Below are 21,025 nucleotides of genomic sequence, written 5' to 3'. Positions count from 1 at the left end.
TTGAGAAATCTCCAAATTGCTTTCCACAGTGGCTGGTCTAATTTACATTCACACCAACAGTGTATTAACATTCCCTTTTCTCTGCAGCCTCACTAGCATCTGTTGTTTTTGACTTTTTTTTTTTTGGTCTTTTTTTTGAGACGGAGTCTCACTCGGTCGCCAGGCTGGAGTGCAGTGGCACGATCTTGGCTCACTGCAACCTCCCCCTCCTGGGTTCAAGTGATTCTCCTGCCTCAGCCTCTTGAGTAGCTGGGACTATAGGCATGCGCCACCATACCCGGCTAATTTTTGTGTTTTTGGTAGAGACAGGGTTTCACCGTGTTGGCCATGATGGTCTCAATCTCTTGACCTCGTGATCCACCCACCTCAGCCTCTCAAAGTACTGGGATTACAGGCATGAGCCACCGTGCCCAGCCTGTTGTTTTTTGACTTTTTAATCACCGTTCTGACTGGTGGGAGATGGTATCTCATTGTGGTTTTAATTTGCATTTCTCTGCTGATAGTGATGATGAGTATTTCTTCATATGTGTTGGCCACGTGTATATCTTCTTTTGAGAAGTGCCTGTTCATGTCTTTTGCCTGTTTTTTTAAAGGGGTTTTGTGCTTGTTCAATTGTTTACATTCTTTATAGATTCTGGATATTAGACCTTTGTTGGATGCATAGTTTGTGAATATTTTCTCCCATTCTGTAGGTTGTCTGTTTACTGTGTTGATAGTTTCTTTTGCTGTGCAGAAGCTCTTTAGTTTAATTAGATCGTCCCACTTAAACCAATTTTTGTTTTTGTTACAGTTGTTTTCGAGAACTTAGCATATATTCTTTTCCAAGGCCAGTGTCCAGAATGGTGTTTCCTAGATTTTCTTCTATAATTCTTATAGTTTGAGGTCTTACATTTAAATCTTTAATCTATCTATTGTTAATTTTTGAAAGGTATGATCCAGTTTCATTCTTCCACATGTTGCTAGCTAGCCATCCCAACACTATTGAATAGGGAGTCCTTTCCCCATTGCTTTTTTGTTGTTGTTGATTTTCTTGAATATAAGATGGTTGTGCAGCTTTATATCTGGTTTTTCTATTCTATTCCCATTGGTCTCTGTCTCTTTTTGTACCAGTTCCATGCTGTTTGGATTACTGTAACTTATTAGGATAGTTTCAAGTCAGGTAACATGATACCTCCAACTTTGTTCCCTTTGCTTAGGATTGTTTTGGCTGTTCCTGCTCTTTTTTGGTTCCATGTAAATTTCAGAATAGCTTTTTTCTAGTTCTGTGAAAAATGACATTGGTAATTTGGTAAGAATAGCATTGAATCTGTAGATTGCTTTGGGCAGTATGGCTACTTTAATGATATTGATTCTTCCAATCTGAGCATGGAATGTTTTTCCATCTGTTTGTATCATCTGTGTTTGTAGTTCTCCTTGTAGTGGCCTTTCACCTCCTTGGTTAGATATGTTCTTAGGTACTTCTCTCTCTCTCTCTGTCTCTCTCTCTCTCTGTGTGTGTGTGTGTATGTGTTGTACGTGGGATTGCATTCTCGAGTTGGCTTTCAACTTGAATGTTATTGGAATATAGAAATGCTACTGTTTTTATAGATTGATTTTGTATCCTCAAACTTTACTGAAGTTGTTTATCAGTTCTAGGAGGTTTTTGATGACAGCTTTGTTTTTTGTTTTTTGTTTTTTTGTTTTTTTTTGTTTTTGGATGGAGTCTCGCTCTGTCACCCAGACTGGAGTGCAATGGCGCAATCTTGGCTCAGTGCAACCTCCATCTCCCGGCTTCAAGTGATTCTCCTGCCTCAGCCTCCTGAGTAGCTGGGATTACAGGCACGGGCCACCACGCCTGGCTAATTTTTTTTTGTATTTTTAGTGGAGACCAGGTTTCACCATGTTGGTCAGGCTGGTCTTGAACTCCTGAGCTCATGATCCTCCCGCCTTGGCCTCCCAAAGTGCTGGGATTACAGGCATGAGCCACCACACCCAGCCAGCTTTAGGGTTTTTAAGGTATAGAATCATATCATCCATGAAGACAGATAGTTTCACTTCTTCTTTGCCTATTTGGATGCCTTTTATTTCTTTCTCTTGCCTGATTGCTCTGGCTAGCACTTCTAGTACTATGGTGAATATGAGTGGTAAGAGAAGGCATTCTTGTCTTATTCCAGTTCTCAAGGGAACTTCTCCAGTTTTTGCTTGTTCAGTATGATGTTAGCTGTGGGTTTGTCATAGATGGCTCTTATTATTTGGAATATGTTCCTTTTGAGAGAGGAGCAGTTAGGGGCTGGCTAGGCAGTTAGGGAAGGTCTTTGGAGAAGAACAACACTTATGGGACCACAACTGCACTGCCCGTGTTATGTAGCAAGCAGGTGGAAGTGTGGTGAAGAGCTTCCTCTTATACCAGGATGTTTGCCCAAGAAGGGAGTGTCCCAACTTAGGCACAGGTGCAGTAAATAAACGTAACATCCTTAACTTGACCCAGCTCATTATATATAAGTCATTAACATGACATCTGCATGGTAGTTTCACCCCCCTGCCATGTGGGCTTTTCTGTGATGTTTATGGGTAATAACTAAGATGGAGTAGCTTTGGAGAAGAACACACCTGTGCAGAAAGAAGTGGGACCAGGAAGCAACCAGGACATAGAGGGTTGTGCAAGATGCAAATGAGAAAAACGCCCCTGGAAAGAGGGGACAGAAACCTCTGGGGACAAGCCCATAGGCATCAACCCACTTTCAGGTCACCTGTTGCTGCTGAGAGCTTTTCCTGTCACTTAATAAAAATCTATGCCTTACTTACCCTCTGGTGTCCGTGAACCTCATTCCTCTTGGTCATGGGACAAGAACTTGGAACTCACTGAACTATGGGAGTGAAGGAGCCACAACACCTTGATGCATAGTTTCTTGAGGATTTTTATCATGAAGGGATATTAGATTTTATCAAAAGCTTTTTTGTGTGTCTTTCGAGATGATTATATTGTTTTTGTTTTACTTCTGTTTATGTGCTGAATCACATTTATTGATTTGCACATGTTGAGCTAACTGTGCTTTCTGGGAATGAAGCCTACTTGATCGTAGTAAATTAACTTTTTGATGTGCTGTTGTATTCAGTTTGCTAGTATTTTTGTTCAGGATCTTTGCATCTGTGTTCATCAGGGATATTGACATATAGTTTTCTTTTTCTTTTGTTGTGTCTTTGCCAGGTTTTGGTGTCAGGGTGATGCTGGCTTCATAGAATAATTTAGGAAGGAGTTCTTCCCTGATTTTTTTTTTAATAGTTTCAGTAGAATTGGTACCAGCTCTTCTTTGTATGTCTGTTAGAATTCTGCTGTGGATCCATCTGGTCTGGGGCTTTTATTGGCTTATAGATTTTTTTTATCACTGGTTTCAATTTCAGAACTTGATACCGGTCTATTCAGGATTTCAGTTTCTCCCTGATCCAATCTTAGGAGATTGTGTGTTTCCAGGAATGTGTCCATTTCCTCTTGATTTTCTAGTTTGTGTGCATAGAGGTGTTCATAATAGTCTCTCAGTATCTTTTGTATTTCTGTGGGATTGGTGGTAATATCACCTTTGTCATTTATTTAGAGACAGGGTCTTACCCTTTTGCCCAGGCTGGAATGCAGTGCCATGATCATTGGCTCACTGAGGTCTTGACCTCCCTAGGCTCAGGTAATCCTCCCACTTCAGCCTCCCAAGTAGCTGGGACTACAGGTGCATGCCACCATGCCCAGCTAACTTTTGTAGAGACAGGGTTTCATCATGTTACCCAGGTGGTCTTGAACTCCTGGGCTCAAGTGATCCACCCACCTTGTCCTCCTAAAGTGCTAGGATTACAGGCATGAGCCACCATGCCTGGCCACCTTTGTCATATCTAACTGTGCTTATTTGGATCATCTCTCTTTTTTCTTTGTTAATCTAGGTAGTGGTCTGTGATCTTTTTTATCCTTCAGAAAACCAATTTTTGGTTTTGTTGATTCTTTGTATGGACTTTTGGGTCTGAATTTTGTTTGGTTCTGCTCTGAAATAACTAAAATTTCTTTTCTTCTGCTAGCTTTGGGGTTCTTATTTTTCTAGTTCCTCTGTCTGATGTTAGGTCATTAATTTGAGATTTTTCTAACATTTCAAGTACAGTTTTTGCTGTATCTTAGATATTTTGGTATGTTGTCTATTTTCATTTCTTTCAAAGAATTTTTTGATTTCTGCCTTAATTTTCTTGTTTACCCAAAAGTCCTCTGGGACTAAGTTGTTTAATTTCCATGTAATTGTGTGGTTTTGAGCGATCTTCTTGGCATTTATTTCTGTTTTTATCCCACTATACTTTGAGAGTATGGTTGGTATGATTTTGATTTTTTTTTTAGTTTATTAAGACTTGGTTTATGCCCAGGATGTGGTTGATCTTGGAGTATGTTCCCATGTGCATATAAGAATGTGTCTTGTGGCAAACTAAAGCAGGAACACAAAACCAAATACTGCATATTCTCACTTATAAGTGAGAGTTGAACAATGAGAACACATGGACACAGGGAGGGGAACAGCACACACTGGGGCCTGTAGGCAGGGTCAGGGGCTAGGGGAGGGAGAGCATCAGGAAAAATAGCTAATGCATGCTGAGCTTAATACTTAGGTGATGGGTTGACAGGTGCAGCAAACCACCATGGCACACATTTACCTAGGTAACAAACCTGCACATCCTGCATATGTACCCCAGAACATAAAATAAGAATGTATATTCTGTGGTTGATAGGTGGAAGTATTTTATAGATGTCTATTAGATCCAGTTGGTCAAATGTCAAATGTCAGTTTAGAGTTTCTTTGTTAGTTTTCTACCTTGATGATCTTTCTAATGTTGTCAGTGTGGTGTTGGAGTCTTCCACTATTACTGGGTGGCTGTCTTAAGTCTTTTTGTAGATGTAGAAGTACTTGTTTTATGAATCTTGTTGCCCCAGTGTTGTGTGCATATATATATTTAGGATAGTTACATCTTCTTGTTGAATTGAACCCTTTATCATTATATAATGCCCTTCTTTGTCCTTTTTTTTTTTTTTGCTGTTATTGGTTTAGTCTGTTTTAGCTGATATAAAAATAGCGACCCCTGCTCTTTTGTTTTCCATTGCATGATAGATCTTTTTCCAACCTTTTACTGAGTCTGTGGGTGTCCTTATGTGTGAGATTGGTCTCTTGAAGACAGCAGATGGATAGGTCTTGCTTTTCTAATCCAACTTGCCACTCTGCGCCTTTTAAGTGGGGGCATTTAGATCATTTACATTCAAGATTAATATTGATATGTGAGGTTTTGTGGATCCAGAATTTTAAATGTCTGTTTCCTTCCCTGTGCTGAGAGATATGGCCATGTTATCTTCCTGAGATTGTCTAATATTTCTATTACTTGCTGGGCTAATAATAAAGTACACATTGATACCTGACAAATATTCATCTTTCCTTGCCAACTTTATATATTGCAGAATGTTATAGTAGCCCTATTTGAAGATGGTTGGACTTTCCATCCCTGTCATGGAATGGGGAATATATTCCTAGAAAAGAGTTTTTTTTTTTTTAATTGGGGCCTTATTGGCTTAGAAAAGCACTAACAACTTAAAAGAGGGAAAAAACAACATCTCAGCAGTATAATGAGAAAATTTGGGATCAGAGAAAGATGTTTTGTTTCTATTTTAAGAAATAACAGGATGGCAAAAGACAGATACAGATAAGTTGATCTCTTTTTTTTTTTTTTTTTTTTTTTTGAGACAGAGTCTCCCTCAGTCGCCCAGGCTGGAAAGCAGTGGCTCGATCTCTGCTCACTGCAAGCTCCGCCTCCTGGGTTCACGCCATTCCCCTGCCTCAGCCTCCGGAGTAGCTGGGACTACGGGCGCCCGCCACCACGCCCAGCTAATTTTTTTTGTATTTTTTTTGTAGAGACGGGGTTTCACCATGTTAGCCAGGATGGTCGCAATCTCCTGACCTCGTGATCCGCCCTCCTCGGCCTCCAATAGGCCATTTAAGTGAATATCGAAGCGATGTGCCAGAGAGTGTGTTACTTAAAAAACATCTTAAGGCTGGGCGCGGTGGCTCACGCTTGTAATCCCAGCAGTTTGGGAGGCTGAGGTGGGCGGATCACTTGAGGTTAGGAGTTTGAGACCAGCCTGGCCAACATGGTGAAACCCCGTCTCTACCAAAAATACAAAAATTAGCCAGGCGTGGTGGCAGGCCCTTGTAATCCCAGCTACTCGGGAGGCTGAGGCAAGAGAACTGCTTGAACATGGGAGGCAGAGGTTGCAGTGAGCTGAGATCGTGCCACTGCACTCCAGCCTGGGCGACAGAGCGAGACTCCATCTTAAAAAAAAAAAAAACTTGAATAATTAAATTTTTTGCCTGTCTACCACAAAGAGATGTGACTGCACTGTTAACCACATTGTTGCCAAATGAGTAAAATGTGTAAAAGATTTTAATACCAGTCCTCTTTTATTCATTAAAGTCTTCTTATGGCTCGTTAATTTTAATGGTATAATCTAGTTCTGATTGAAGTGCACCTGAATGCAGTTAGTGCCTCATCAGTCCTGATGAGTTCCAAGTAATTCAGGCCCTGTCTGCAGTGTTCACAAATTGTGTCTATATTTACATCTGTTTCATGCATGTTTGCACGTGTCTTCAGCAGTACAGTTTTTACAAGAGCCCAGTGTCTTCCTTTTTGGCCTCATCTACATTATTTAAAAGAGTTTTCTATTTTCATAATTGCTTTTATGCCAAAAATAAGTTTTATGCAAACAAAGATTTTGTGATGATGCCAAAATTTGGCATTCAGGTTGAAAATAGATACAGCTTATGAGTCAAATACACTTTTGGAGAATAGGGAATCTGATGTATATAGTAAAAAGTAAATGATAATATCAGTTCATTGGATTTCCACTATAACTCGTAAGTTTCATGAAGCTATTAAAAAACTCTTCTTAAATCCTGCTTTTACAGTTTCATAATTACATACCTCAAACTAGGTTTACTCATTTTCAGATATAGATTATGTTTGCAGAATGAATACATGATTAATTATGGTATACCTCTTTAATCCTTCATTTCTGGTGTGGGTGTTTTCACAGCACTCAGATAAGTGATTGGTTGAACATGGTCAAACAGTCTAACCCCTAGGGTGAATAGAGCTTTCTCTGATGGTGCTGAAGGTTTATTCATCAGTTACGATCTCGCTCTTTTTTTTTTTTTTTTAACATGAAGTTTCACTCTTGTTGTCCAGGCTGGAGTGCAGTGGTGCGATCTCGGCTCACTGCAACCTCTGCCTCCTGGGTTCAAGTGATTCTCATGCCTCAGCCTCCCGAGTAGCTGGGATTACAAGCATCTGCCACCACACCCGGATAATTTCTTGTATTTTTAGTAGAGATGAGGTTTCACCATGTTGGCCATGCTCATCTCAAACTCCTGACCTCAGGTTGATCCACCTGCCTCGGCCTCCCAAAGTGCTAGGATTACAGGCATGAGCCACCGCTCCTGGCCCAGTAATGATCTCTTAATTCCCCTTTTTTAGGTTCCATGATAACCATTTGCCTTCTCTGTTAAAAAAAAAAAAGTGTTTTTTATAGAAAGGGTAAAATGAAGTTGGTTCAGCATCCTTTTCTGAATCTTCCAATTCCAATCTTGCCTCCTGGATGGTTCTTTGGTTTCATTTTACAGATGGCTAATCTCCACTATGTGCAGATTTTTCTAGTTTAATTTTTAGATGGAAATCTTATTAACTGACCTTAACTTTTTTTTTGAGGGTTTTGAGGCCCCCTCATGTATTCTGTCTCCCAATAAAATTTTAAGCTCCTGGATAGTTCCCTGCATAGATAAGAAATGAATGACTATCAAATACATTAGATATTCTATCATAACAAAGCTTTTCCCCATTAAAATTGAGTAACAGCTATATATCCTTGATTTGCACTTAAAAATTATGCTTGATTCAATTTTAAATTTCAAAAAGTTGGTATGAAATAGTTTTTGACAATCAAAAGGAATAAAGAAATGTTTTTTCTCTTGGAACTACAGGTGAGAAGAGGAGTTGCTGTTGTGAAAGGGGGAGTCAATTTTGGGAGCAGAAAGGTAGAGCGGGCCAGGTGTGGTGGCTTATGCCTATAAACCTAGCATTTTGGGAGGCTGAGGCGGGAGGATCACTTAAGGTCAGAGTTTAAGACCAGCCTAGGCAATGTAGTGAGACTTCATCTCTATCAAAAAAAAAAAAAAAGTTAAAAATTAGCCAAGCATGGTGGCACATACCTGAAGTCCCAGCCACTCGGGTGGCTGAGGTGGGAGGATTGCTGGAGCCCAGGAGATTGAGCTATGATTGTGCCACTACATTCCAGCCTGGGCAACAGAGTGAGACCTTGTCTCAAAAACAAAACAAAACAAAAAACCAAAAAAAAAAAAAAAAAAAAAAAGGCTGCTTTTACATAGAGCAGGGAGCAGTGGGGAATAAGACACTTGGCTGCCTCCTGGTGCTTACTGTTAATTTGTCCTGTTGTAACTCGACAGAGATGTGATACAACCCTGGCCTGACAGCATGTAATTGCAGGCTCAGGGCTGAATGTTTGGTTTACACAATGAAGTAAGCCACCAAAGTCTATCAAGGTGATAGATGAAAGTGAGGGAAATTTAGAATAGATAATGGAGGAGGTTGAAGATGAGTAGCAGCAATGGGGCTTTAGTTCATACCACTAACCTCCCTCTTCTAAGATGTTCCTTAGGATGTGAGACCCATGGAAGTCATGGAAGAGCTTTTCCCTGAAGTAAATTTGTATGATGCACAGTGGACTGTGGTGGCCATGAAAATATATAACTGAAATTCCCTCTTGCAGGGACCATAATTGACAAATAACCTCAGTTACTGCCCCTCTGGATGAACCATTGTGTTGATGCTGAGGCCAGGCTTCCTGTAGTCTACGTTCAGCTCATAACTGAGTAAAGTCCGTTCTTGCCTTAGGAGATGCAAAACTCTTACAGCAGGTGTGAAGACGGCTGAATCCATTGGCCTAGTTGAACCTTTCTTGGTCTAGGACTTTTCCTACCCCTTCTTGCCGCCTTCCCTCTCAGTCTAGCATACTGATTTGAAAGTATCTACCTCTTCTTATCCTTTCCCACAAAAATCACTTTCGTGTTAAATCCTGTCTTGGTACCTGCTTCTTGGCAGCTCCAAACACAGCTGATATTCTTGTTTAAGTCTCCTGGATTTTTCTTGATACTTTGTCTACTTGTTCTATGGAATTCTAAAAGAGAAATATTGCATATTTGTCTATTTCCTCTTACAGTTCTGTTAGTTTTGGCATCATATATTTTGAAACTTGTTATTAGATGAGCACATATTTAGAATGTTTAAGTCTTAATGAATTTGACATGTGCATAATTATGAAATGCCCCCCTTTATGCTTTTTTTCTGGAGTATACTTTAGTAATAAAATAGAACACTCTTTCTTTTGATTGGTATTTTCATGGTATGTCTTTTTTCATCCTTTTACTTTTTGTGTCTTTATATTTAAAGTGAGTTTCCTGTAGACAGGATATCATTGGTTTTTAACATTTTTTCCGCACCCTAATGGTCTCTGCCTTTTAAGTGGAGTGTTTGGACCAGGGATTGACACAATTTTTTTTTTTTTTTCTGTAAAGAGCCACATACTACATATTTTGAGTTTTGTGGACGATATGGTCTTTGTTGCAATTACTCAGATCTGCCATTGTAGTACAAAAGCAGCCACAGACAATATGTATATGAATGTGTGGCTATGATGAGTCAGATTTTGCCCATAGCTGTAGTTTGTCCTTTTTTTTTTTTTTTTTTTTTTTTTTGAGACGGAGTCTCGCCCTGTTGCCCAGGCTGGAGTGCAGTGGCACAATCTTGGCTCACTGCAATCTCTGCCTCCCAGGTTCAAGGAATTCTCATGCCTCAGCCTCCTGAGTAGCTGAAATTAGAGGCGTGCACCACCATGCCCAGCTAATTTTTGTATTTTTGGTACAGATGGGGTTTGACCATGTTGACCAGGCTGGTCTCAAACTCCAGACCTCAAGCAATCTGCCCACCTCGGTCTCCCAAAGTGCTGGGATTACAAGCATCTGCCATTGTGCCCAGCCAACTATATTTGATGTAATTGTGGATATAGTTGGCTTTCCACAGATATTGTAATTTATTGCACTTATCCCAATGAAAAGAATTGTATTCTTCCTTCATTTGGAATTAATTTATTGATGACTTTAAAGTGTTTTGTCAGAAGATTAATTTTTCCCTCCCCTTTCCTATTAAAATAGAATCAGTTTTCTTTAAAAGTCTTGGAAGGAGAAAAAGGTCTACTTCTATGGTGCAGTATGCTCCCAATAGGCTCATTCTCCTACAGATAAGAACTATAAACTCTGATTAAATTTTTAAAATTATACAAGAACTCTGGAGATTGGAAAAAAGCAGGTAGCTTTTGGAGAGTATTCAAATCTTAGAGGTTGAGATTGCACAAAGTACATTTCATATTTTGCAACATTAGCCTGCATGTGCCATAGATACTGTACAGCACGGAGTGGCTAAGATTCCAGTAGAGAACCAAGCTCTTTTCTGGCCTAGTAAACCAGGAAATGGAGCCTGGAATAAGCATAGCCACCAGAAGGGGGTATTCTAGAGGAGAGACCCAGAGAAGTGGAGGTCCAGGTTCTCTGGATGAACTCTGCTCAAATCTTTACTTGACCCCTGAACTACACATGAATGAAGCAGCTTCAAAACAACCACTGAGGCTTAAGTAACTTAACTGTATATTGAACTTGCAGTCATTGCAGGTGAGACCACAGTTTGAGTCTAATCAAGGTAATTGCCTGCTAAAACAAATACCTCAGTCATTTTTAAAGCAATACGGTAGAACTCAGGTTATACTAAATATAACTTTCTCAATGTCCAGGATACAATCCAAAATTACTTGACAGAGAATGAACTAGGAAAATATGACAAGAAAAAGACAGCCAACAGGTTTACCCAGAGATGAACAAGGTGACCAAAAGATATAACACAAGGACTTTATACCAGCTATTCTAACTGTGCTCAATGAATAAAGGCAAAGATGTTTACAATGAATGAAAAGATGGAATATCTCAGCAGAGAAATAGAATATGTAAAAAAAAAAAAATTTGAGAAGTAAAAGTTACAATATCTGTGATGATAAAAGATCACTGGTTGAGCTCAGTAGCAGAATAGAGAGAACAGAGGTAGAATAGAGAGGTAAGAATTTAGAAACTTAAAGATAGAACAATAGAAATTATTCATTCTGAAGAAAAGGAAATGATTGAATAAACAGAAAAGGGGGGAAATTATTTTTAAAATGGACACTCAGAGTACTGTGGAACAATAGCAGTAGGTCCAGTATATGTCTAATTATGAGTCCTAAAAGAGAGAATGAGGCCGAAAAAAGCATTTGAAGAAATGATAGCCAAAAACTTTCCAAACTTTGTAAAAGATATAAATCAACATAAGAAGCCCAGTGAAACTCAAGTATAAATATGTAGAAAATCACCTAGGCACATTAACTGCTGAAAATCTTATAAGCCGTCAGAAAAATGACACATTACATATAGAAAAACAACTATTTGCATAACCATAAACTTTTCATCAAAAAACATGGAGAATAAAATGGAACAAAGTATTTAGAGTTGAATGAAGAATAAAAAGAATGAAGGAGGGAATTTAATGATTATTGAGCCAGGTAATTAAGTCTATGTTTTTGAAATTGAATTTTATCCCCTTAATGTCTTGTGAAATCCATTTAATGTATTACAATCAGAATTTTTTAAAACTGGAAGAGTTTAAGACAGTATAGAATAAAGTATCAGAGTGCATCTCAGATTGTAAGGGTAACTTCTGTTACATGAAATCTTTATTTGGATTTTACATACATTCACTTGGATATTCATATATGTGTGTACTGGTTTTTTTTTTAAATTTTCTTATTATACTTTAAATTTTAGGGTACATGTGCACAACGTTTAGGTTTGTTACATATGTATACATGTGCCATGTTGGTGTGCTGCACCCATTAACTCGTCATTTAGCATTAGGTATATCTCCTAATGCTATCCCTCCCCCCTCCCGCCACCCCACAACAGTCCCCGGTGTGTGATGTTCCCCTTTCTGTGTCCATGTGTTCTCATTGTTCAATTCCCACCTATGAGTGAGAACATGCGGTGTTTGGTTTTTTGTCCTTGCGATAGTTTGCTGAGAATGATGGTTTCCAGTTTCATCCATGTCCCTACAAAGGACATGAACTCATCATTTTTTATGGCTGCATAGTATTCCATGGTGTATATATGCCACATTTTCTTAATCCAGTCTATCATTGATGGACATTTGGGTTGGTTCCAAGTCTTTGCTATTGTGAATAGTGCCGCAATAAACATACGTGTGCATGTGTCTTTATAGCAGCATGATTTATAATCCTTTGGGTATATACCCAGTAATGGGATGGCTGGGTCAAATGGTATTTCTAGTTCTAGATCCCTGAGGAATTGCCACACTGACTTCCACAATGGTTGAACTAGTTTACGGTCCCACCAACAGTGTAAAAGTGTTCCTATTTCTCCACATCCTCTCCAGCACCTGTTTCCTGACTTTTTAATGATCGCCATTCTAACTGGTGTGAGATGGTATCTCATTGTGGTTTTGATTTGCATTTATCTGATGGCCAGTGATGATGAGCATTTTTTCATGTGTCTTTTGGCTGCATAAATGTCTTCTTTTGAGAAGTGTCTGTTCATATCCTTTGTCCACTTTTTGATGGGGTTGTTTGGTTTTTTCTTGTAAATTTGTTTGAGTTCATTGTAGATTCTGGATATTAGCCCTTTGTCAGATGAGTAGGTTGCAAAAATTTTCTCCCATTCTGTAGGTTGCCTGTTTGCTCTGATGGTAGTTTCTTTTGCTGTGCAGAAGTTCTTTAGTTTAATGAGATCCCATTTGTCAATTTTGGCTTTTGTTGCCATTGCTTTTGGTGTTTTAGACATGAAGTCCTTGCCCATGTCTATGACCTCAGTGGTATTGCCTAGGTTTTCTTCTAGGGTTTTTATGGTTTTAAGTCTAACATGTAAGTCTTTAATCCATCTTGAATTAATTTTTGTATAAGGTGTAAGGAAGGGATCCAGTTTTAGCTTTCTACATATGGCTAGCCAGTTTTCCCAGCACCATTTATTAAATAGGGAATCCTTTCCCCATTGCTTGTTTTTGTCAGGTTTGTCAAAGATCAGATAGTTGTAGATATGTGCCATTATTTCTGAGGGCTCTGTTTCTGTTCCATTGGTCTATATCTCTGTTTTGGTATGAGTACCACACTGTTTTGGTTACTGTAGCCTTGTAGTATAGTTTGAAGTCAGGTAGCGTGATGCTTCCAGCTTTGTTCTTTTGGCTTAGGATTGACTTGGCGACGTGGGCTCTTTTTTGGTTCCTTATGAACTTTAAAGTAGTTTTTTCCAATTCTGTGAAGAAAGTCATTGGTAGCTTGATGGGGATGGCATTGAATGTATAAATTACCTTGGGCAGTATGGCCATTTTCACGATATTGATTCTTCCTACCCATGAGCATGGAATGTTCTTCCATTTGTTTGTATCCTCTTTTATTTCATTGAGCAGTGGTTCGTAGTTCTCCTTGAAGAGGTCCTTCACATCCCTTGTAAGTTGGATTCCTAGGTATTTTATTCTCTTCGAAGCAATTGTGAATGGGAGTTCACTCATGATTTGGCTCTCTGTTTGTCTGTTATTGGTGTATAAGAATGCTTGTGATTTTTGTTCAGTGATTTTGTATCCTGAGACTTTGCTGAAGTTGCTTATCAGCTTGAGGAGATTTTGGGCTGAGACGATGGGGTTTTCTAGATATACAATCATGTCATCTGCAAACAGGGACAATTTGACTTCCTCTTTTCCTAATTGAATACCCTTTATTTCCTTCTCCTGCCTGATTGCCCTGGCCGGAACTTCCAACACTATGTTGAATAGGAGTGGTGAGAGAGGGCATCCCTGTCTTGTGCCAGTTTTCAAAGGGAATGCTTCCAGTTTTTGCCCATTCAGTATGATATTGGCTGTGGGTTTGTCATAGATAGCTCTTATTATTTTGAGATGTGTCCCATCAATACCTAATTTATTGAGAGTTTTTAGCATGAAGGGCTGTTGAATTTTGTCAAAGGCCTTTTCTGCATCTGTTGAGATAATCATGTGGTTTTTGTCTTTGGTTCTGTTTATATGTTGGATTACATTTATTGATTTGCGTATGTTGAACCAGCCTTGCATCCCAGGGATGAAGCCCACTTGATCATGGTGGATAAGCTTTTTGATGTGCTGCTGGATTCGGTTTGCCAGTATTTTATTGAGGATTTTTGCATCAATGTTCATGAAGGATATTGGTCTAAAATTCTCTTTTTTGGTTGTGTCTCTCCCAGGCTTTGGTATCAGGATGATGCTGGCCTCATAAAATGAGTTAGGGAGGATTCCCTCTTTTTCTATTGATTGGAATAGTTTCAGAAGGAATGGTACCAGCTCCTGTTTGTACCTCTGGTAGAATTCAGCTGTGAATCCATCTGGTCCTGGAATTTTTTTGGTTGATAAGCTATTGATTATTGCCTCAATTTCAGAGCCTGTTATTGGTCTATTCAGAGATTCAACTTCTTCCTGATTTAGTCTTGGGAGGATGTGTGTGTCCAGGAATTTATCCATTTCTTCTAGATTTTCTAGTTTATTTGCGTAGAGTTGTTTATAGTATTCTCTGATGGTAGTTTGTATTTCTGTGGGATCAGTGGTGATATCCCCTTTATCATTTTTTATTGTGTCTATTTGATTCTTCTCTCTTTTCTTCTTTATTAGTCTTGCTAGTGGTCTATCAATTTTGTTGATCTTTTCAAAAAACCAGCTTCTGGATTCATTAATTTTTTGAAGGGTTTTTTTGTGTCTCTATTTCCTTCAGTTCTGCTCTGATCTTAGTTATTTCTTGCCTTCTGGTAGCTTTTGAATGTGTTTGCTCTTGCTTCTCTAGTTCTTTTAATTGTGATGTTAGGGTGTCAATTTTAGATCTTTCCTGCTTTCTCTTGTGGGCATTTAGTGCTATAAATTTCCCTCTACACACTGCTTTGAATGTGTCCCAGAGATTCTGGTACATTTGTCTTTGTTCTCATTGGTTTCAAAGAACATCTTTATTTCTGCCTTCATTTCATTATGTACCCAGTAGTCATTCAGGAGCAGGTTGTTCATTTTCCATGTAGTTGAGCGGTTTTGAGTGAGTTTCTTAATCCTCAGTTCTGGTTTGATTGCACTGTGGTGTGAGAGACAGCTTGTTATAATTTCTGTTCTTTTACATTTGCTTGAGGAGTGCTTTACTTCCAACTATGTGGTCAGTTTTGGAGTAGGTGTGGTGTGGTGCTGAAAAGAATGTATATTCTGTTGATTTGGGGTGGAGAGTTCTGTAGATGTCTATTAGGTCTGCTTGGTGCAGAGCTGAGTTCAATTCCTGGGTATCCTTGTTAACTTTCTGTCTCGTTGATTTGTCTAACGTTGACAGTGTGGTGTTAAAGTCTCCCATTATTATGGTGTGGGAGTCTAAGTCTCTTTGTAGGTCACTAAGGACTTGCTTTATGAATCTGGGTGCTCCTGTATTGGGTGCCTATATATTTAGGATAGTTAGCTCTTCTTGTTGAATTGATCCCTTTACCATTATGTAATGGCCTTCTTTGTCTCTTTTGATCTTTGTTGGTTTAAAGTCTGTTTTATCAGAGACTAGGATTGCAACCCCTGCCTTTTTTTGTTTTCCATTTGCTTGGTAGATCTTCCTCCATCCCTTTATTTTGAGCCAGTGTGTGTCTCTGCACGTGAGATGGGTCTCCTGAATACAGCAAACTGATGTGTCTTGACTCTTTATCCAATTTGCCAGTCTGTGTCTTTCAGTTGGAGCATTTAGCCCATTTACATTTAAGGGGAATATTGTTATGTGTGAATTTGATCCTGTCATTATGACGTTAGCTGGTTATTTTGCTCATTAGTTGATGCAGTTTCTTCCTAGCCTTGATGGTCTTTACAATTTGGCATGTTTTTGCAGTGGCTGGTACTTGTTCCTTTCCATGTTTAGTGCTTCCTTCAGGAGCTCTTTTAGGGCAGGCCTGGTGGTGACAAAATCTCTCAGCATTTGCTTGTCTGTAAAGTATTTTATTTCTCCTTCACTTATGAAGCTTAGTTTGGCTGGATATGTGATTCTGGGCTGAAAATTCTTTTCTTTAAGAATGTTGAATATTGGTCCCCACTCTCTTCTGGCTTGTAGAGTTTCTGCCGAGAGATCAGCTGTTAGTCTGATGGGCTTCCCTTTGTGGGTAACCCGACCTTTCTCTCTGGCTGCCCTTAACATTTTTTCCTTCATTTCAACTTTGGTGAATCTGACAATTATTTGTCTTGGAGTTGCTCTTCTCAAGGAGTATCTTTATGGCATTCTCTGTATTTCCTGAATTTGAATGTTGGCCTGCCTTGCTAGATTGGGGAATTTCTCCTGGATAATATCCTGAAGAGTGTTTTCCAACTTGGTTCCATTCTCCCCGTCACTTTCAGGTACACCAATCAGACGTAGATTTGGTCTTTTCACATAGTCCCATGTTTCTTGGAGGCTTTGTTTGGTTCTTTTTATTTTATTTTTCTCTAAACTTCTCTTCTCGCTTCATTTCATTCATTTCGTCTTCCATCACTGATACCCTTTCTTCCAGTTGATGGCATCGGCTGCTGAGGCTTCTGCATTTGTCACGTAGCTCTCGTGCCTTGGTTTTCAGCTCCATCAGGTCCTTTAAGGACTTCTCTGCATTGGTTATTGTAGTTATCCATTCGTCTAATTTTTTTTCAAAGCTTTTAACTTCTTTGCCATTGGTTCGAATTTCCTCCTGTAGCTCGGAGTAGTTTGATCGTCTGAAGCCTTCTTCTCTCAAGTCATCAAAGTCATTCTCCGTCCACCTTCGTTCCGTTGCTGGTGAGGAGCTTTGTTCCTTTGGAGGAGGAGAGGCGCTCTGATTTTTAGAGTTTCCAGTTTTTCTGCTCTGTTTTTTCCCCATCTTTGTGGTTTTATCTACCTTTGGTCTTTGATGATGGTGACGTACAGATGGGTTTTTGGTGTGGATGTCCTTTCTGTTTGTTAGTTTTCCTTCTAACAGACAGGACCCTCAGCTGCAGGTCTGCTGGAGTTTGCTAGAGGTCCATTACAGACCCTGTTTGCCTGGGTATCAGCAGTGGTGGCTGCAGAACAGTGGATATTGTTGAACCTCAGATGCTGCTGCCTGATGGTTCCCCTGGAAGTTTTGTCTCAGAGGAGTACCCGGCCATGTGAGGTGTCAGTCCGCCCCTACTGGGGGGTGCCTCCCAGTTAGGCTACTTGGGGGTCAGGGACCCACTTGAGGAGGTGGTCTGCCCGTTCTCAGATCTCAAGCTGTGTGCCGGGAGAACCACTTCTCTCTTCAAAGCTCAGTTGGAAATGCAGAAATCACCCGTCTTCTGCATCGCTCACGCTGGGAGCTGTAGACCGGAGCTGTTCCTATTCGGCCATCTTGGCTCCTCCCACCTTTTTTTTTTCTAATTGTTGCATTTACATTTATGTTGGAGTCTGTACTGCCATTTTTATTCCTTGTAATACACTTGTCAGGCTTGTTTATCAAAGTTATAAATTGGGGCTGGGCATAGTGTCTAAAGCCTGTAATCCCAGCACTTTGGGAGGCCAAGACAGGAGGATCACTTGAGCCTAGGAGTTTTGAGGCTGCAGTGAGCTATGATCCTGCTACTGCACTTTAGCCTGGGTAACAGAGAACCTGTCTAGAAAAAGAAAAACAAATGGCAAGGCCAGGTGCAGTGGCACATGCCTGTAATCTCAGCACTTTGGGAGGCTGAGGCAGGCAGATCACCTGAGACCAGGAGTTCGAGACCAGCCTGGCCAACATGATGCAACCCTGTCTGTAGTAAAAAATACAAAAATTAGCTGGGCATGGTAGCGCGCATCTGTAATCCCAGCTACTTGGAAGGCTGAGGCATGAGAATTGCTTGAACCTGGGAGGTGGAGGTTGCAGTGAGCCAAGATTGTGCCACTGCACTCCAGCCTGGGTGACAGAGCGAGAACTCATCTCAAAAAAAAAAGAAAAAAGAAAAAGAAAAAAAAAAACCATCATATGTTGGTAAATATAACTTTTTTTTTCTGTTCTCTAGAAGGGTTTGTCTAAGTGTGTTATTTCTTAAATGTTTCGAATATTTCACTGAAAGAGATCACTAGAGTTTTCTTTGTGAGAAGTTTTTTGTTTTTTAAGTAATAGGGTAAATTCTTCGAATCCAAATCATATCTTTCAGTTTTTGTCAGATGGTTTTTCAAGGAATTTTCTCATTTCATCGAAATTGTCAGATGTATAGGCATAAAGTTGTTATGACTTATTGACTTATCTTCTTATTGACTCATTAATGTCTGGATGATCCGTGTGTTTGCCTGTTTACTCTTTTTCCTTGTTGTAATTTGCTTTGTTTCTGTTCTTCTTAATTATTATTTCAGTAGGTTTTTGGGGGAACAGGTGGTGTTTGGTTAACGTGGATAAGTTCTTTAGTGGTGATTACTGAGATTTTGGTGCACCCATCATGCGAGTAGTGTACACTGCACCAAATATATAGTCTTTTATCCCTCACCCCCCTCCCACCCTTTACTCCCAGTCCCCAAAGTCCACTGTATCATTCTTGTGCCTTTGTGTCCTCATAGCTTAGCTCCCACTTATGAGTGACAATGTTTGATTTTCCATTCCTAAATTACTTCACTTAGAATAATAGTCTTCAGTTCTATCCAGGTTGCTGCAAATGCCATTATTTTGTTCCTTTTTATGACTGAGTAGTATTCCAAGGTATATCTTTATCCACTCGTTGATTGATGGGCATTTGAGCTGGTTCCATATTTTTGCAGTTGTGAATTGTGCTGCTATAAACATGCATGTGCAAGTATCTTGTTTGTATGATGTTTTATTTTCCTCTGGGTAGATGCCCAATAGGGGGATTGTAGTGGGATTCCTGGATCAAATGGTAGATCTACTTGTAGTTCTTTATGGAATCTCCACACAGCTTTCCATAGTGGTTGTACTAGTGTACATTCCCAGCAGCAGTGTAAAAGTGTTCTCTTTTCACCACATCTACACCAACATCTATTATTTTTTGATTATGGCCATTCTTGCACGAGTAAGGTGGTGTTGCATTGTGGTTTTGATTTGCAGTTCACTGATCATTAGTGATTTTGAGCATGTTTTCATATGATTGTTGGTCATTTGTATATCTTCTTTTGAGAATTGTCCATTCCTGTCCTTAGCCCACTTTTTGATGGGATTTTTTTTTTTTCCTTCATGATTTGAGTTCCTTGTAGATTTTGGATATTAGTCCTTTGTCAGATTTATAGATTGTGAAGATTTTCTCCCACAATCCATAGTGTGGGAGGTCTGTTTACTCTGCTGATTGTTTCTTTTGCTGTGCAGAAGCTTTTTAGTTTAAGTTCCATCTATTTATCTTTGTTTTTATTGCATTTGTTTTTGGGTTCTTGGTCATAAAGTAGTTGCCTAAGCCAGTGTCTAGGAGGGTTTTTTCCAGTGTTATCTTCTAGAATTTTTATGGTTTCAGGTCTTAGATTTAAGTCTTTGATCTACCTTCAGTGGATTTTTGTATAAGGTAAGAGATGAGGATACCAGTACCATGCTGTTTTGGTGACTATGGTCTTATAGTATAGTTTGAAGTCAGGTAATGTGATGTCTCCAGATTTGTTCTTTTTGCTTAGTCTTGCTTTAGCTATTTGGGCTCCTTTTTGGTTCCATATGTATTTTAAGTTTGTTTTTTCTAGTTCTGTGAAGAATGATGGTGGTATTTTGATGGGAATTGCATTGAATTTGTAGACTGCTTTTGGCCGTATGGTCATTTTCACAATGTTGATTCTATACATCCATGAGCATGGGATGTGTTTCCATTTGTGTGTGTCATCTATGATTTTTTTCAGTAGTGTTTTGTAGTTTTCCTTGTAGAGGTCTTTTACCTCCTTGGTTAGGTATATTCCTCAGTGGTTTTTGTTTGAGGTGTGTGTGTGTGTGTGTGTGTGTGTGTGTGTGTGTGTAGCTATTGTGAAAGTGGTTGAGTTCTTGATTGATTGTCAGTTTGGTCACTGTTGCAGTATAGCAGTGCTACTGATTTGTGTACATTAATTTTGTATCCTGAAACTTCGCTGAATTCATTTTTTAGTTCCAGAGCTTTTTGGAGGATTCTTTAGGGTTTTCTAGGTGTATGATCTTATCATCAGCAAACAGCGACAGTGTGACTTCTTCTTTACCAATTTGGATGCCCTTTATTTTTTCTCTTGTCTGATTGCTCTGGCTAGGACTTTCAGTACTGTGTTGACTAGAAGTGGTGAAAGTGGACATTCTTGTCTTGTTCCAGGGGGAATGCTTTCAACATTTTCCACTTCAGTATAATACTGGTTGTGGGTTTGTAGTAGATGGCTTTTATTACCTTAAGGTATGTCCCTTCTATGCCAATTTTGCTGAGGGCTTTCATCATAGAAGGATGCTGGATTTTGTCAAATGCTTTTTCTGCATCTATTGAGATGATCATGTGATTTTTGTTTTTAATTCTGTTTATGTGGTGTATCACATTTATTGACTTGTGGATGTTAAACCATCCCTGCATCCTTGGTATGAAACCCACTTGATATGGTGGATTATCTTTTTGATATACTGTTGGATTTGGTTAGCTAGTATTTTGCTGAGGATTTTTGCATCTGTGTTCCTCAGGGAAATTGATCTGTAGTTTTCTTTTTTTGTTATGTCCTTTCCTGGATTTGGTATTAGGGTGATACTGGCTTCACAGAAAGATTTACGGAGGATTCTCTCTTTCTCTATCTTTTGGAATAGTGTCAATAGGATTGGTACCAATCCTTCTTTGAATATCTGATAGAATTCAGCTGTGAATCCATCTGGTCCTGGTTTTGTTGGTCTGTTCAGTTTGTGTTTCTTCCGGGTTTAATCTAGGAGGGTTG

At 39.4% G+C, this 21,025-nt stretch overlaps 1 long non-coding RNA gene across 3 annotated transcripts in view, besides 1 other annotated feature; it reads left to right on the top strand.

The window, feature by feature from the left end:
- CKMT2-AS1 (CKMT2 antisense RNA 1) overlaps window positions 1-21,025 on the top strand; it is a 64,005-nt gene that overhangs the window by 6,847 nt on the left and 36,133 nt on the right. The window lies entirely within an intron of this gene.
- Window positions 2,706-2,906: a silencer, noted in NCBI's record as "peak5313 fragment used in MPRA reporter construct". NCBI's record gives its function as "represses an SCP1 promoter by STARR-seq MPRAs in K562 erythroleukemia cells {active_cell/tissue: K562}" and the evidence as "EXISTENCE:reporter gene assay evidence [ECO:0000049][PMID:32103011]".

The sequence above is a fragment of the Homo sapiens genome, chromosome 5 (genome assembly GCF_000001405.40).
Source record: "Homo sapiens chromosome 5, GRCh38.p14 Primary Assembly".
NCBI classification, from domain to species: domain Eukaryota; kingdom Metazoa; phylum Chordata; class Mammalia; order Primates; family Hominidae; genus Homo; species Homo sapiens.
The sequence above is the reverse complement of the archived record's forward strand: the minus strand, read 5'-3'. Positions and strand labels throughout refer to the sequence as shown.